General features: G+C 45.0%; 1 long non-coding RNA gene across 1 annotated transcript, besides 3 other annotated features; it reads right to left on the bottom strand.

Annotated features, from left to right (window-relative positions):
* On the bottom strand, positions 5535 to 17482 carry LOC107984191 (uncharacterized). Its single transcript, XR_007062029.1, has 4 exons — positions 16155 to 17482; positions 8896 to 9021; positions 8567 to 8740; positions 5535 to 5572 (listed from the first exon to the last, which is right to left on the bottom strand). It is a non-coding gene; the product is annotated as an uncharacterized LOC107984191 (long non-coding RNA).
* Positions 9631 to 10830: an enhancer, noted in NCBI's record as "CDK7 strongly-dependent group 2 enhancer chr10:310208-311407 (GRCh37/hg19 assembly coordinates)". NCBI's record gives its function as "activates an origin of replication core promoter dependent on BRD2, BRD4, P300/CBP, MED14 and CDK7 cofactors, with strong dependence on CDK7, by STARR-seq in HCT116 cells {active_cell/tissue: HCT116}" and the evidence as "EXISTENCE:reporter gene assay evidence [ECO:0000049][PMID:35650434]".
* Positions 14702 to 15211: an enhancer, noted in NCBI's record as "NANOG-H3K4me1 hESC enhancer chr10:315279-315788 (GRCh37/hg19 assembly coordinates)". NCBI's record gives its function as "activates a minimal SCP1, AML or CMV promoter by ChIP-STARR-seq in naive H9 embryonic stem cells {active_cell/tissue: H9 hESC(naive)}" and the evidence as "EXISTENCE:reporter gene assay evidence [ECO:0000049][PMID:30033119]".
* Positions 15212 to 15720: an enhancer, noted in NCBI's record as "NANOG-H3K4me1 hESC enhancer chr10:315789-316297 (GRCh37/hg19 assembly coordinates)". NCBI's record gives its function as "activates a minimal SCP1, AML or CMV promoter by ChIP-STARR-seq in naive H9 embryonic stem cells {active_cell/tissue: H9 hESC(naive)}" and the evidence as "EXISTENCE:reporter gene assay evidence [ECO:0000049][PMID:30033119]".
* Positions 17483 to 18164: the final 682 nt, after the last annotated feature.

Below are 18164 nucleotides of genomic sequence, written 5' to 3' on the forward strand. Positions count from 1 at the left end.
GCTTTAGTAATTTGTTTATTTAGTGTAGTCCCCTATACCCAACCAAATACTACCGTCGCTAAATGTTGATCACATACTGTGGGTCACTCTTTAGTGACTGCTTAACTTTATATAAAATCAGTGTGTTAAACATCATTTGTTCACTTAAACGTATAAATTGAATTTACTTTCACCAGATCTCAAAAAGACCATACATGATATAATAAGGAGAGGATGATTATTATATCAGCTGCATATCAATTATTGCAAATCAGCCTGAAAAACAGATACACAACTCAGAATGGAATAGATTCTTAATTGGAGGCCAGCTGAGGCTAACCCTCTGCTGTTTTCATCTACTTCTTGGTATGGTAGTTGTGGGTAGTTGACCAGCCCCAGGTCTTAGTGCCAACATTAACCCAGCCTTAGTCGGTACTCTGGTTTTCATCATTCATGCCATCATTCATCATTCATGTGATAGACGTATCACAACTGGGATCAGATGGTTTAGGTCTGAATATTAAAGTCCCAGTTCCTGTAGGATTGTAAAGTTTCCAACAGTAGTAGTAGTATCATTCTATTCACCCTCATTTTGTCTTTGTTCTTCTAGATATATTTTCCTAAGCAACAGGCTTACTGGTCCTCAAAAATGAGGTGTCGGCCAGGCGTGGTGGCTCATGCCTGTAATCCCAGCACTTTGGGAGACCAAGGTGGGTGGATCACCTGAAGTCAGGAGTTCGAGACCAGCCTGGCCAACATGGTGAAACCCTGTCTGTACAAAAATACAAAAAAAATTAGCCGGGCATGAAGGCAGGTGCCTGTAATCCCAGCTACTTGGGAGGCTGAGGCGGGAGAATCTCTTGAACCTGGGAGGCAGAGGTTGCAGTGAGCCGAGATCACCCGATTGCACTCCAGCCTGGCTGGGCAACACAGCGAGACTCCATCTCAAAAAAAAAAAAAGTGTCACTTGTTATTTTATGAAATGCCAACTCTGATTCTAGACCTTAATTATTAGAATTGTGTTCTAAAAGTCTTTTCAATAAAAAAATTCCAACTGACAAATATGAAACCCATATCTATAATACATGAGTATCACTAAAAATTTCAGTCATTGATGACAGCAAAGTGAAAGAAGGCCTCTAGGAGGGTGTATGGAGTGAGTGAAGTGACAAGGTTGCTTCTGTAATTGGGGGCGACCAAATTGAAGTAGTGAAGCAAGTGGCTTAGAGAATAAAAAGCATTTTGCCACATTCCAATATTAAAAGAAAATAAAACTAGAAATAGGATACTTGTGTGAAAGTGATCTTTTCATAAACAAGAAGGAAAAGTGTGCAACTGGAGGAAAGTAATAGCTTTGGTCGGGCTACTCAAGACAAGATAGGTGTAAACAGGGAAGTTTAAAAAGATGTAATAACTTGCTCAGATTTACCCAGTAGGTCAGTCTCAAGCTCAGTTCTGTTTGATTGTAAAACCCATTTTCTTAACTCTTACGCTAGGCTGAATATATGGATAGAAAATTATTTGACAAACATTTGAAATTGAAGTCATCAAGTTCAATACATCTGGAATCAAACCCATCACCTTCCCCTGCCTCACTCCACTTCTCCAGCCAGCTCACTGGATGCCCATCTCGGTTCAGGGCAGTCTCACAGTCCTGGTCACCCAGACTAGACCATGATGTACCAAGTGGCCTCGCCCTGTTCTTTGCCTTCAGTCTCTAATTCAGTAGTTCCCAAACTTGTGACATCAGGATCACTGGAGGGCTTATTAAAGCACCACTAGGCTCCACCTCCAGCATGTGCATTGCTCCCAAGTTCCTAAGTGTTGCTGACGGGAACATCCTTTGAGAACACTGCTTTACTGACATGGGGGGGCGGGAAAAAAAAAAAAGCAATGGACCCTTTCCTGAAAAGTGCACACACACATGCATGCACAGGTAATGCTGCATAAAATTCTGTGGATTCCTAAGGCCTAGAATTATGTTGACCCTCACGTTAAGAATCCTTAATCCAGTAGGACTGGAGCAGCAAAAATGTGGGGAGCGATACAAGTGGAGGCCTGTTACTGTAATTTAAGTAAGCCAGAGCCTCTCAAACATTCGTGAGCACACAGATCGCCTGAGGACCTGGTAAAGATGCAGAATCTGATTTAGTGGGTCTGGCATGGGTGCGGCCGGTAAATCTGCCGGTTCTAATGAGCCTCCAGGTGGTATTGATTCTTCTGGCCAGGGACAGTACGTGAGAGGCCGGGTGCTCAGGAGTGTGTAAATTCATGAGATGAAGTACTACTGCACTAAATTGTAAACTCCATAAAGCAATACTATTAAATAAAAATATACGAGGCATGCATGTAACTTCAGATTTTCTAGTAGCCATTATTTGAAAAGTCAGAAGTAGGTGACATTAATAATGCATCTTAATATATCCAGAATATCACTTCAACATGTAATTAACATAAAAATGAGATCGCTTACATTCATGTTCAGCACTAAGTCTTTAAAAGTCGGTGTGTCTTTTATAGCTTCTGCATATTTCCATTCAGACTGGCCATGCTCATCCACATGTGCCGGTGGCGACCTGTATTCAATTCGGTACGTTGGACAGAGCAACCCAAAAATAAGGGCTTTGTCTTAGACCAGAGCATGCCCTATCAGCGCCTTACCTATAGTAGATATTCATACAGCAAACATGTATTAGAGCTTACTCGGAACAAAGAAGCTGAAAAAAAAAAATCAGTTCTTGCCAGAATTTAAGCCTACCTGAGGGTAGGTTCTTGATATGTTTCAAAGTCTCAGGTTTGAAAGCTTACAAATATCTAGTCAAGCTCCAAAATGACATTTCAATTAGGCAACCCTGGCAAGGGATCCTAAGTCTCCCTGTAGCTCTAAAGGGCAGTCTGAGAACCCTTGAGTCGAACTCCTTAATTCCATACTGCAGAGAAAACAGACCTAGACCTTCTTGGTGTCACGGTATTCATAATACCACGCCTCCTCTTCGGTAGTCCTTTACAGACTGTAGGTGGCTTCATAAAGCCTTGCAAGGACAGGAAGTAGTCCCTACCCTCCTGGAACGACGAAGGATAGAATAGCAGAAGCTATAGAATGCCGAGGAAATTCAGAAAACACTGTGTAAACATCAACCACCGATTCATCAATGTGAGAGCTACTTGAGCTCCTACAGCATCTGTGTGGGATGTGGGATGTCGGGTATACAGCAATGAGCAGAGCAGAGCAGACCTCTCCGGTCTCTTGAAAGCTTACACTCTAGTGAGCAAGATGCCATGAAGACAGAACGCAGGACTGTAGGATACAGAGGAAGCATAAAATCTCAGGGAAAGAACTAGTGAGCTGAACCTTTCAGGGTGAGCAGAGGCTGGCTGGAGATGAAACAGGACAGAGGAACCATATCGATTTTGGATGATTTATTTTCCTCCTTCATATTTTTACAATGAACATTAATACTTTTGAAAGTGGGGGGAAGTTAGAAAGAGGCTTGCTAGAGAGGTGTGTAGTAAGAGTTATAGGAAAGCTATGGGAGATTTGACGTGGTTACAGAGGCAGAATGAAGGAGGGTACTGGCTTAAGAGGACGAGCAGGGGCAACGGCACAGTGAGGGCAGCAGGCCAAGATGTGAAGATGAGAGAAGACGACCCAAGAAATGTGAAAAGCGGGAAGGAAACAGACGGAGGGAAATCATGTTTGGCACAAGAGGAACCTATTTTTATCTAACCAGGAGCCCCTGGAGAGAGAAGGTCCAAGTCTTCTCCAACGCTGGAATTTAAAAAAATTATCTTAGTCTTAAAATTGAAACAAAAGTAAAGGTTGAAAAAGCTACAAAGTGAAAATGTCTCAGCCAATTCAGTTCCCTTGTTCAGAGGCAGTCACGGACCTGTCCAGTTTCCCATGCATCCTTCCAAAGACAGACACACACAATGCTAGTGCTATCCTAGCACTGAGAACAGTCAATTTCAGTTATCTGTAAACATGAATTTAGACACATATGCATATACATACACGTGTGTATGTGTGTCTGTATGTATGTCAAACTACACTCAAAGTTTCATTAAAGTATAACCAGAAAGTAGAATAAATTGTAAAGTATGAGCGTGGTGGCTCACACTTCTACTCACAGCACTTTGAGAGGCCAGGGCAGGAGGATCACTTGAGGTCCGGAGTTTGAGACCAGCTTGGGCAACACAGTGAGACCCCACCTCTACCAAAAAAAATTCTGTTAAAAGTGCCAATCCACTGTTTTCTATCTCACTTTAAAGAGGATCATAAACATTAGGAAAGACTAAGCTCTGAATTTTTAGAATCTTTTAATAATTCTAGCAGCTGAATACCTGCTAATGGGAGGGTGAAGAGACGTGGGACTGAGGACCACACATTTTTGGATTTGTCTCCAGTAAAAATTTTGTTATTTGTTTTCAGTTTCTTACTGCTCTGGATCCTTAGGCCAAAGAGAGCTTACTCAGAACAAAGGAGCTGAAAAACAATCAGTTCTTGCCAGAATGTAAGCTTCCCCAAGGGTAGGCTCTTATCTGCAAATTTGAATGTATACACAAATGTACACATGTATACACATAGGTACTCTTTTCATAAATCATTTCCAAGCATTTTTATTCAGATTTCACTAGTGTTTGTGGGAAGCCTTCAGAGTCCCAGCAAGGGACTTCCACATCCCCTCCCAAAGATGCCGGGGGAAGGAGTCCAGCTGAGACTGCAGCCCCTGGGTCCCAAGCTCTGGCCTAGAGACACAGTTCCAGTTCTCAAGCCCAACCCCGTAGGCCATGAGGGAGGGGCATCCTCCTTCACACCTGTCTTGTAGGGAGGTGTCCTCACCCCCAGCCTCTAGCAGAGATGGCATAAACCTGCCTGACCAACAGACCCAGGCACAATGTCTAAATTAAATGCTGAAGATATTTTTGTTTCACCAACAATTTAAAAACTCTCAAAGATGACTAAAATCACATGAACTTGAAAAGCATTTGGGCTTATTTGCTTAATTTACAAGTACTCATTTATTTATAAGCCACTTTGGTACCATGAACAATATACAGACAGACACGTACACATGAATATACAAAAATACAGACAGACATAAAGATCTTATAGCGTTAGTTTTAAAATGTCAGCCATGAGTCAGGTGACAATCACTAGTATCAAAGAACAGTTGGGTTTAAACTGTGTCTCTGTGAATGGAACAGGCTGAGATTTCTCTCTCCCCCAGGGCCCAAGCCCTCATGGAGTTTTAGAGGAAAACAGGGTAGCAAATTTATTTCTCACACACAGAGAATTTCAGCCTTGTTAAGGAGGAGTTGAAGTATGGTAGTTAGAGGAAAATTAAAAAGGGGTGCCAAGGTAACTTACCATAGGATTTTATAGGGAGGCCAATGTCATTTGTATAGGTAGCTTTCGGTTTAGTCTGTTTTCCAACTGGACCAATGGACTCAGGGCAGAGCCCATTAAGAAACAGGGCCAAGGCCGGGCGTGGTGGCTCACGCCTGTAATCCCAGCATTTTGGGAGGCCAGGGCGGGTGGATCACCAGGTCAGGAGATTGAGACCATCCTGGCTAACACCGTGAAAGCCCGTCTCTACAAAAAATACAAAAACAAAATTAGCCAGGCGTGGTGGCAGGCAACTGTAGTCCCAGCTACTTGGGAGGCTGAGGCAGGAGAATGGCGTGAACCCGGGAAGTGGAGTTTGCAGTGAGCCGAGATTGCGCCACTGCACTCCAGCCTGGGCGACCGAGTGAGACTCTGTTTAAAAAAAAAAAAAAAAAAGTCCAAAAAAAAAAAAAAAGTGAAAACCAGGCAGTTGGAAGGACCTTTTTTTTTTTTTTTGGAGACAGAGTCTTGCTCTGTCACCTAGGCTGGAGCGCAGTGGCACGATCTTGGCTCACTGCAAGCTCCACCTCCCAGGTTCAAGCAATTTTCTGCCTCAGCCTCCCAAGCAGCTGGGACTATGCCTGCAATTATGCCCAGCTAATTTTTGTATTTTTTGTAGAGACAGGGTTTCACTATGTTGACCAGGCTGGTCTCGAACTCCTGACCTTGTGATCTGCCCACCTCAGCCTCCCAAAGTGCTGGGATTAGAGGTGTGAGCCACTGCACCCGGCCAGGATTTTACTTTTATACTGAATCCCAGATCCCTTCAAACACAGGACTGTCATGGGACTGGGCCATACAACACCTGCACAGTACACTTCATTACCAAGACATTTCTCTAAGTGTTTAAAATGCACGTTTTTTATCTAAACATGGAAAGAAATGAGTAGCTCCCTGTAGTAATAACCATTTACTATAAAAAAGTGCCTTCGGCCACCCCCAAAACTGCAGCTCTCACCAGTGACGGCAGCCATCACACACACGGAGGTTAAGTCCTGTCCCACAGTACAATGTAATCTCCAGGGCCCCAAAGCCAAGAGATCAGGTCACGCAGCACAGAATGCGGTTTCAGACCTGACAGGACCCTGCCCGTGACTCTCTAGACTGCACAGGAAGACAGAAGACCCCGGAAAGCAGTGAGTGGGGCCTTTTCCTGCGCTCATTAAGGTGTCTGAGGCATGAGATGTCCCCTCCAGATCCTTTCACGTGGAACCAAAGAGGAAGGAGGAGCAGGAAGAAGAACAGGCAGAGCCGTTCTTGAGAAAGGAAGTGAACACAGAGGAACCAAACACGTAAGTTTTTTAAAAAACGGTTTCAATCTACTGAAAAAGAATTTCCAAAACGAGACCCCAAGAGCAATAGCAGAAAGGCCTTAAACACACACACACGTACACATATAGCTTGAATATCAGTTTTAATTAAGCTGACCATAGAGCTTTAAAAAAAAAAAACAAAAAAAAACTGCCCGGGCGCGGGGGCTCATGCTCTTCGGGAGGCTGAGGCAGGCGGATCATGAGGTCAAGAGCTCAAGACCATCCTGGCCAATGTGGGGAAACCCCATCTCTACTAAAAATATAAAAATTAGCCGGGCCTGGTGGCATGCACCTGTAATCCCAGCTACTTGGGAGGCTGAGGCAGGAGATTCGCTTGAACCTGGGAGGCGGAGGTTGCAGTGAGCCGAGATTATGCCATTGCACTCCAGCCTGGCAACAGGGTGGGACTCTGTCTCAAAATTAAAAAAAAAAAATTCATATCTCTTTATCAGATTTTAGCCAGGACAAACAGATGATAGTTCTGTGTTTTGAATCATTTTTACCAAAGGAACCTTCCTGAGTGGCGAAGCAGTATCCCACGAAGTTGGAAGCTATCACAAATACCAAACCAAAAGGGACTGGCTCCCTGATGAGGAAGGAGCCAGGCTGCAGCAGTGAAAGCACCAAACCCCAGTCATTAGGCCACAGGGTGGACATGCTTCCTTTTTGTGGGTAAATCTTGCAGGGGATCCAAAGCAGGTAGTTGGAACATTTAAAGGATTTAAAGTTGTTTTTTATCTGATTTCAGCTGGAATGCTACTTAGCTAATTCCCTGGATGTCAGCATTTCATCAGTCAGTCATTAGAGTCCTAAAGCAGAAAAAATTTGTTGGATCTGCATTTTAATGATCTAATTTTATTTTTGTCCATTCCCCTCTTTTAGACTATTAGTCTTTTATAGTTATTTGTTTTATTGCCCTAAGCAATTGTCAGCTAGGCAACAAAGGTGTTTTTTGGAGACCCATCTTGCTCATTGGGTGGTCTTTTTAATCGAGTGGAGAATAGTTGAAGAATACTGGGCAGCCCCCAGAACCAGAAGGGTTTGTGGTGACACTGAGCTGCCACAATAGGAGTTTCAGGGAGGGGGTCAGAGACCTGGGGAGTTTCCTCAGGTGGTAGTGACAGGTATCTCTTTGTTTACCTCCTGAAGGGAGGCGATTTTCTCAGAATTTATTTTAGAAGCTTTTTAGGTGCCGCTGGAAGTCTTCCATTTAATTTGTTTCTAAAAGTGGCTTTTTCCAATTGTGTGTACAAATGAATTATTTTAGGTATTTCAAAAGACTTCCATTTTTGGTCATTGTTGTTTATGATCATCCTTGGTTAGGTAGGTCCCCTTTCCTAGATATCTATAATGTATGTAAAACCTGCTGGTATTTAATAGGAGTTTGCCACAAATGAAAAATCAGGCCCACATTTCAAAAATAGAAAAGTAACTGCAATTTTTAAAAGCATACAATGTACAAAGAGATCACAAACGCCTAACGGCAAATCCGTTGACCTGAACCTCTGCTGTGAGACAGGGACAGAAAAAGTTTGACCCAAATCCCTTGTCCTGAGACAGAGGTGGAAAAACTTTCTCTACGGAGCTCTTTACCTGAATCTCCTATCCAAAGACAGAGAGCAAAGCCCTTACTCTTAAAATAAAGAGTTTGAAAAACAGCCTAAATAAGTCAGGACTTTCAACCAAAGAGTGGTGTTACCAAAATGCTAGGGGTTTGATCTAGGTCCTGCTGCTTTCTGCCCACAAAGCCCATCACTGAGACAAGTATGGCCAGGGAAGAAGGCTTTAATCGGTGCTGCAGCTGAGGAGATGGGAGAGCAGTCTCAAATCCATCTCCCTGACGGACTAAAATTAGGGGTTTATATAGCAGGGAAGAAATGTAACTTACATGCAGGAAAACAGGAACTAGGGAGGGATAAGGAAGAGGAGTCAGTCAACAGGCAGCAGGTGGGTGGTTAGGCAGTCATGGCGGGTGAGGGGTTTGGCCTCTCATTGTCCAGATGTGGTGACCTGGTGAGTTTGAGCTCCTTGATACCATCCGGGAGGCCTGATAGTTGGTGCCCTGAGAAAGAAACTCGGGTAAGACCAATGTAAGTTTCTCAAGTTTTAAGACTGGGAATGTCAATTTCTATGTTTATTCTAAAGAAACCACGAACAGCAATTCTATGGGACAACTGGGCTAGTTTCAGTGGGAGGCCCAATTTCAGGAGAACTCACCCAAAACACCTGGTGGGACTTCTGAAGACAGAGTTTGTGCTGGTACCAAGTGCCGCTTTCAGAGAGAAACACCGTGTGGTCAGGGGAAGACACTCTAAATCCTGCAGACTATACCAGATAGTCAACCTAAAAGGAAGAATCCGAGGCAAAGTTAATATAAGTAGGCAGTTTATTTGGGCCAAGCTTGAGGATTGCAGCTGGGAGCAGAGATTCAAGTTGCCCTGAGTATATGCTCTGATAATATATGCTCTGAGAAGCAGCAGTTACAAGTGGGGTTATTTTTTTATTTTTTTGTTGTTGATTTTGAGATGGAGTCTCACTCTGTCACCCAGGCTAGAGTACAGTGGCGCAATCTCGGCTCACTGAAACCTCCAATTCCTGGGTTCAAGCAATGCTCCTGACTCAGCCTCCCAGGTGGCTGGGATTACAGGCACATGCCACTATGCCTGGCTAACTTTTGTATTTTTAGTAGAGATAGGGTTTCATCATGTTGGCCAAGCTGGTCTTGAACTCCTGACCTCAGGTGATCCGCCCAACTCGGCCTCCCAAAGTGCTGGGATTACAGGTGTGAGCCACCACGCCTGGCCACAAGTGGGTTTTTAAAGGCAAAAGAAGAGGATGAGGAGTGGGCTGACAGCAAGTTGACTGTCAGGAATTCTTGTCGGTTTACAGAAACAACAGTGCCGAGTGATTGGCTGTACATTATTAACCTATAGGATGCCAGTAACAGCATCTGGTGTGGCATCATTAGGCTGACTCATACCTGTAGGGTTCAGGGCATGGGGTATGGAGTCCAGTGGATGTCACTAGGTTGATTCATAACTGGAGGGTACATGGCATGGGGTACAGTGTCCAGTGTATGTCACTAGGTTGACTCATAACTGTAGGGTACAAGGTATGGGGTAAGGTGTCTGGTGCATGTTACTAGGTTGACTCACAGCTGTAGGGTACAGGGCATGGGGTACGGTGTCCAGTGTATGTCACTAGGTTGACTCATAACTGTAGGGTACAGGGCATGGAGTACGGTGTCCAATGTATGTCACTAGGTTGACTCATAACTGTAGGGTACAGGGCATGGAGTACGGTGTCCAATGTATGTCACTAGGTTGACTCATAACTGTAGGGTACAGGGCATGGAGTACGGCATCCGGTGCATGTCACTAGATTGACTCAACTGTAGGGTACAGGGTATGGGGTAAGGTGTCTGGTGCATGTCACTAGGTTGACTCACAGCTGTAGGGTACAGGGCATGGGGTAAGGTGTCTGGTGCATGTCACTAGGTTGACTCACAGCTGTAGGGTACAGGGTATGGGGTATGGTGTCCGGTGCATGTCACTAGGTTGACTCACAGCTGTAGGGTACAGGGCATGGGGTACGGTGTCTGGTGCATGTCACTAGGTTGACTCACAGCTGTAGGGTACAGGGCATGGGGTATGGTGTCCGGTGTATGTCACTAGGTTGACTCATAACTGTAGGGTACAGGGCATGGGGTACGGTGTCCAGTGTATGTCACTAGGTTGACTCATAACTGTAGGGTACAGGGCATGGAGTACGGCATCCGGTGCATGTCACTAGATTGACTCAACTGTAGGGTACAGGGTATGGGGTAAGGTGTCTGGTGCATGTCACTAGGTTGACTCACAGCTGTAGGGTACAGGGCATGGGGTACAGTGTCCGGTGCATGTCACTAGGTTGACTCACAGCTATAGGGTACAGGGCATGGGGTATGGTGTCCAGTGTATGTCACTAGGTTGACTCATAACTGTAGGGTACAGGGCACGGGGTACAGTGTCTGACGTGGTATCACTACATTGATTCATAGCTACTTGTAGCAGCAGCAAGCAGTTTCAAGAGATGCACGCATAAGGTCAAGGGGTGTATGTGATGTGACTGCTGCCTGATTTTACTGTCTCTCTGGACCTAATAGTTTAAAAGGATTCATACTCCTGAGATAAAAGTTCTTTTCTCAGCCATATGTAGAAAGCTGAAACTGGATCTCTTCCTTACACCTTATACAAAAATTAATTCAAGATGGATTGAAGACTTAAATTTAGACCTAAAACCATAAAATCCCTAGAAGAAAACCTAGGCAGTATCATTCAGGATATAGGCGTGGGCAAGGACTTCATGTCTAAAACACCAAAAGCAATGGCAACAAAACCCAAAAATGATAAATGAGGTCTAATTAAACTAAAGAGCTTCTGCACAGCAAAAGAAACTACCATCAGAGTGAAGAGGCAACCTACAGAATAGGAGAAAATTTTTGCAATCTACTCATCTGACAAAGGGCTAATATCCAGAATCTACAAAGAACTCAAACAAACTTAACTTACAAGGAAAAAACAACCCCATCAACAAGTGGGCAAAGGATATGAGCAGACACTTCTCAAAAGAAGACATTTATGCAGCCAAAAGACACATGAAAAAATGCTCACCATCACTGGCTATCAGAGAAATGCAAATCAAAACCACAATGAGATACCATCTCACACCAGTTAGAATGGCAATCATTAAAACGTCAGGAAACAACAGGTGCTGGAGAGGATGTGGAGAAATAGGAACACTTTTACACTGTTGGTGGGACTGTAAACTAGTTCAACCACTGTGGAAGACAGTGTGGCGATTCCTCAGGGATCTAGAACTAGAAATATCATTTGCCCAGCCATCTCATTACTGGGTATATACCCAAAGGATTATAAATCATGCTGCTATAAAGACACATGCACACGTATGTTTATTGCAGCACTATTCACAATAGCAAAGACTTGGAACCAACCCAAATGTCCATGAATGACAGACTGGATTAAGAAAATGTGGCACATATACACCATGGAATACTATGCAGCCATAAAAAAGGATGAGTTAATGTCCTTTGTAGGGACATGGATGAAGCTGGAAACCATCATTCTCAGCAAACTATCACAAGGACAGAAAACCAAACACCGCATGTTCTCACTCATAGGTGGGAATCGAACAATGAGAACACTTGGACACAGGAAGGGGAACATCACATACTGGGGCCTGTTGTGGGGTGGGGTGAGGGGGGAGGGATAGCATTAGGAGATATACCTAATGTAAATGATGAGTTAATGGGTGCAGCACACCAATATGGCACATGTATACATACGTAACAAACCTGCATGTTGTGCACATGTACCCTAGAATTTAAAGTATATATATAAAAAAAATTCTTTTCTCTCATTTCTATGGACAGGAATAATTTGTATTATCATAAGTTCTCTACAATGTATAGAGCTGTAAAGTAGCTCAAAGACAATAAAATGCAGAGATAACCTGGATGGCTGAGCTAGTCAGGACATCCAAAAATATATATATTTTTGCCCATGTAAAAATCTTTCAAAGTATTTCCTGACAAGTTCAACAATTCAATAGTCCAAGGGATATGAACAAAACAGTCTACAGAAAGAGAAATAGAAACGGCTTTAAAGATATTTTTAAATACACTCACTTATGACAAGAGAAATGCAAATGAAAACCATCGTTTCTGACACGGGGTACTGGCAAACGCATAAAGGCACCTCTGAAAACCACCGTTTCTGACATGGGATACTGGAAAACACATAAAGGCACCACAATTTCTGTCAGTGAAGTGTTGCTGGTAAAAGTGAAAAATGAACGTGATGCCACCAAGGGACACTTTCTGGGAAAATCTGACCAGATTACAGCATGTTGACTCTTTGGTGCCGCAATCCCACTTCTGGAAATCTGTCCATCAGATACGCTTGGCCAATTATGAAATACACTGTTATCATAACAAAAATTGATGACTCATAATAGCAGAAGACAGGAAAAAGGCTAAGTGCCCATTAATAGGGACTGCGGTGCAACCAAACAATGGAATACCAGGCTCCTTATAAAAGACAGTAATCAGGATGAACTTTAAAGAAAGCAAGGTACAGAATACACAGTACATGTCCTTTCCGATTAGAATGAGGGGGTGGTAGGAATATACATTCATGATTGGCTTGTATTCACATAAACACTGAAAAGACAGCAGCAACTAGTAAAAACGGTTCTCTCTCAAGATGAGCTGTGGGGACCGGAGCACAGGAACAAGATTGCAAGCGGATTGCAAGCGCGACTTCACCATGAACACCTTTTCACGGTGTCCACATTTGGACCCTGTGGTCGGATTATCTACTTAAAACATTACATTTTGTGTATTAAAACAAAAAGATTTTTCTTAACAGCCCAGGCAGTAAATGTTGAGATGCTGACACCAGGTAATAGTGATATTTTTCTTTTTCTTCCTTTCCTAACTGTGCCATTACTAACCTCAGGGGCCGTGGTCCCTGCACACATGCTGTGGCGTCCACTTACGAAGGGGTGCTTCGTGTCCATGTACCTCCTCAAACCCTAGTCCCATCTCAAATTAAGTGCTTTAAACATAGCAGAAACTCGTTAAATGCCGGTGGCCTGACTGCTGTCCTTATTCTCCGAACGTCAAGGAGCTATTGAAGGCACGATTGAGTTGAGTGGGCCGCAACCAAAACTGAACTTGGGTGGTGATGGGGAAGAAGCATCTCTCTATAGAAACGTAACCCTGTAAGTCATCCTTTTACATAATGTAGCAAAATACTTAACATGGTAATACCTAAATACTTGAGTTGATCTTTAAACCGAGGGAGGGATTATTTACACCATAAAGGATCACAGGGTCTTTTAAAATTGCTCCTTCTCAAGTGTGTCTTCACTTATCTCGAAACATGGTGTTAGAAACTTGCAGCAGACCTGTTCATCTCTGTTGACAGACTGTCAATCAGCATTAAGACAGAATAATTCTCAACTTTGGTGTTGAAAAAGAATTCTTATATTTTGGAGACCTCATTGTTGTTTCCAGGAAGTTAAAGCCCTGGATGACTGCCCTGTTCAGTATACCCAGCACCCTTCCTCCTAAATTAAGACAGGAGAGTTGTTGGCTGAGAAAGGGGGCAGATATGGGTGCTCCTGCCCCTGCCTCTACCTGCCATCATCCCATCAGGCTGGCAAGGATGTTGCATCGCACCTGAGTCCAGAGGCTAATCAGGACCAGCTGTTTGAAGGCAGGAAAAATATGTTTAAACAGAGGAAGCATCAGTGTGGTCATATTTTGGTTAGATCCATTTAAAGAACGCTGTATCTGTATGTGGGGAAAAATAAGAACTTCACCATCATCTACTCTTATCCCTCATCTTAGAGACAGAAAAGAATAATACGTGATCTGCGCTTTGTGGCTAAGCCAAGACACTGGTGTGACTGGAGAGGGTGGGCACCTCCCTCAGAGCTCATGCCTCAGAGCTGCCAGACTTGGGGAGCTGTGGGATCCTCAGCACCAGCAGTTGGGGTTCAAATATTTGCTGGCTGAAGAAATGAACGAGGCAGAATTTGAAAAATTAAACTCCTTTGAGGGCTGTCTCCAGCTGTCATTTATTTCTGTAGGACCCACGGGCTAAGAATAGCCTTTATACTTTTAAATGGCAGAAAAAAGATCAATAGAATACTTCATGATGGGAAAAATCATTGGAAATTCAATTGGTGTCTCCCAAAAAAGCTCCATGGGACTAGAGCCACAGTACTTATTGGGGGGCTTTCTATGGCTGCATTCACGCTACTGCTCAGAATCGAGTTGAGGTAGAAACCATATGGGCTGCAAAGCCTAGAATATTTTCTAGCTGGCCCTTTACAGAAAAAGTTTGTTTTCCCTGTCTTGTAAGGTTAGCAGTGAGCTGGAGTTGACACCAAGCAGGGCCAGCATGCCTGTTACCTTCTGGAGCAACTGCCCATTAACGGCTAATGGCTTGATCTTAACTCACAGAATCCCTAAAACCCATTAATGTCACCCAAGCCCATCTTTGCAGCCCAATTCTACCTCCAGGAAACACAGAGCTGGTGGCTGATATGGGCAGCAGAGTGTCACCCGTCTTTGGTTTATGAGCCCCCAAAAATGATCCTCTGGCTTATGACAACCTGATGCAGCCCAGGAAATGCCTGCAACATGCCCACTAGCAGCTGGGAACCCCTCTGTGAGGAAGAGAACGTTTTACATTAAGAAACCCTTTGTTTTGCAGCAGAGACTATTCAGGTCACACATGTGTGGCCTCTCAGTTCTTTGAGCCATTTGAAGTTCTCTATCCTTGCTGGGAGGCTGAGCTCTCCATGGAAACCTGGTCCGATAGTGAGAGGAGCAGACCCTCTGGAAACACCTTTTTACACCTGACCAAAGCAGCCAGTCATGGGCCAGTGATGCAACAAGGTCAACCGGTGCATTCTGGCCCCTCAGAAAAGCAGCCCCCGGGAAGGTCAGGAGGAGGCTGCTGACTCCCTCTTCCCCTGCAGCCGCCCCAAGCACACCCAGGAGCCCTGCAGGTTTGGGTTCACCAGGTGCCAGCAGGTCCCACGATGCTGCATTTCTTACGAGCTCCTGGAGGATGCAGATGGTCCTGGTCAGAGGCTGCATTCTGAGTATCAGGAGCCATGGGGCAACGTTTCTGCGATTGAGGAAGGGGCATTTCTGGGGTGGGCAGAACAAAGGTCTTTGGCTGAGCTGGAGCATCCGCCTCCATCAGTGTTTTCCGGCAACTGTACTATCCATCGTCTTCCCTTCCCACAGCTGACCATGGCTTTGGAAAATGCTCTGAAACTTTCTTTTCAGAAGAGTTGACTCCCAACTCCACACTTAGGGGAAGTCAAGCCTACTTCTCAGAATTCAGAGAAGGCATAAAAAAGAATTCATTTCTAAAGGCCCTTTAGAAGTAACTTCAGGTCTGACAGCGGCCAGCTAATTTCTGGTCGCCTTCCAGGAATCTTCTGACTGCAAAAAAAAAGCATTTACCACCTGAACACAAACCCAGTTACAGATAGAAAAACATAGTCATTTAAATAGAATATAAGCATCTGGCCTCTGCCCATCATAATGGAGTAACACAAAAATCTATTTTCAAAAGGAAACTAAATATTATTGACCAAAACATGAATGGGGAGACCTCAGGGTGATACAGCTCTTGCCTGGATGGAATTTGTAATCAAGAGGATGAGACAGGATTGTAACTTGTGCCAATGTGAAAGGGTTTGCTCAGGTATCATTCATTTTGCTTAAATGCATGGGTAATTTCCAAAGTTCTTTGGAGCTGAATTTCACAATTTAGTGCAGGTCCTGGTGAGCCCACCTTGACTTATCTCACAGTACAATGCAGTGGCGTGGCTACAATGCTGGGCAAGAGAAGCCAATGTCAACAGCCCAGGAGTGGCTGGGTCCTTACCAGGCTCCCAGGCATGCTTCATGGTGGGCCCTGGGCTGGGAGGAACAGCACCTTTGCCTGGTCCATGAGTATCTGGGTCAAACTCTCCTGTGGACACAGAAGGCCATGGCGACAGGCATTCCCAGGAAAAGAAAAGGGCAGCAGCTGAAATCGTCAGGTGGAGAAGGCAGTCATCCTTGCTCAGTCAACTCTAATCCGGCTGCCTCCTCCTCAGCTTCAGGGTGAACCTCTCCTAAGCTGTGTCTTTGGTATCTGATGGGCATTAGGTGCTGGTGAAAAAGCTGGAGGGTCCTTTGGGATATTACAGAAGCCCAATCTAGCCTTGTATTCAATATCTAGGCACTCTCACCCCTGAAGTTCTACGTTTCCAGATTTCTGAAAACATGGGAAAGCATGTGTGTGATGTCTGAGGTCCCCCTCAGCCTCTGGTGTAGGGTTAGGAGGGCTCTAAAGGGTGGCAGCTCCAGTGTCCCAGTGGGGCCTGAAGTTGGTCCCTTCCCTTCCCAGCTCCCATCCATGGTTTAGCCCAATCCCTTCCGTACCTAAGAGTACTGCACATGGATGCTCCACGCAGAGCCTCTGCTCCACTCCCAGGAAGTGGGATCTGCACAGCTGGGGCTGAATAGCTGTCTGTTAAAGAACAGACCTATGAAACAAGCATTCTGACATCATTTCCTACAGAAGCACATTTTTAAATAGCTCAGATTCTTGTCCCAGTACTGGAGCCTAGGTGTTGCTGGGGTTCCTGGGATGAAAAGGTCCCTAAAGGCGGGGTTCTCCTGCAGTTTAGCTCAGAGCAGAGACAGCAGGATGCACTGTCGTGGGGGTTATCTGTTCTGTGAGGCCAGGCTTGTGGCTCAGGATATTCCATGCATTCTCAAAAATTAGGACCCCTTTCCCTCCACTCTGTTCTATCCCAGACGTGCAGCAGCTGAAGAGTGGCCAGGCCCATTCCTGGACATCCACTTGGACCTGGCTACTTCTACACCTCCTGAAAAAGGGATAGCTCCCTGGGGCCCCCTGGGAGGGGCACACGCACTTCCAGGTGCTTCTCACACACTCTCCTGGAATAGGGCTGCAAAATATGTTTTCTGCCCAACTATGCTGTGTCAGCAAACTTCCTAAGGTTCTCAACCTTTCTGCCTCCTGCACCCTCCCTCCCCTGGTAGGGCTTCTAAGAAACACACCTGGGATCCTCATCTGAGTGAGCCAGCTGGTTTGTAGAAGTCATTTGCTAGAAGTCTTTGTAGTAGGTGTAGTAAAAAACTCAGGCCAGGCACGGCGGCTCATGCCTGTAATCGCAGCACTTTGGGAGGCCAAGGCGTGCGGATCACGAGGTTGAGAGATCAAGACTATCCCGGCCAACTTGGTGAAACCCCATCTCTACTAAAAATACAAAAATTAGCTGGGTGTGGTGGCGGACACCTGTAGTCCCAGCTACTCGGAGGCTGAGGCAGAAAAGTCACTTGAACCCGGGAGGTGGAGGTTGCAGTGAGCCAAGATCGCGCCACTGCATTCCAGCCACGTAACCGAGCAAGAGTCTGTCTCAAAAAAAAAAAATAAAAAACTCAAGTCTCAGAGGCAGTGACAGAAGCCCTTTCTATTTCTACCTATTTCTGCCTTGAATGCCAGTTCTAGATGGGGCTGAACTTGCTACCGCGCCTTAGAGCTCAGGCACAAACTCACTGTGCCCACGAAAGTCCGAGTCCCGTTTGGAGATGGGGTAAAGACAGGCGTGCGACCTGGGGAGTGCAGAGCAGAAACACCACTGGACCCCTAGAGCAAGCAAGCTGGGCAGGCCCATATTCCCAACACCCCACGATGCCCTCATCGCAGAATGACAAGCCACGTTAGCACTGGGGCCAACCCACATCACTTGCTAAGGTATCAGCTTGGTCTTGCCTGTTATTTTGTTCATAGAATTAACATAACAGACCAACAAACAGCAAGAGCTGCAACTGAGAGTATGCACTAGACTTGAGCCGCTTGTGCCTGCAATATGTTTTGCCA

This window comes from Homo sapiens, chromosome 10, assembly GCF_000001405.40.
Source record: "Homo sapiens chromosome 10, GRCh38.p14 Primary Assembly".
Classification (NCBI taxonomy): domain Eukaryota; kingdom Metazoa; phylum Chordata; class Mammalia; order Primates; family Hominidae; genus Homo; species Homo sapiens.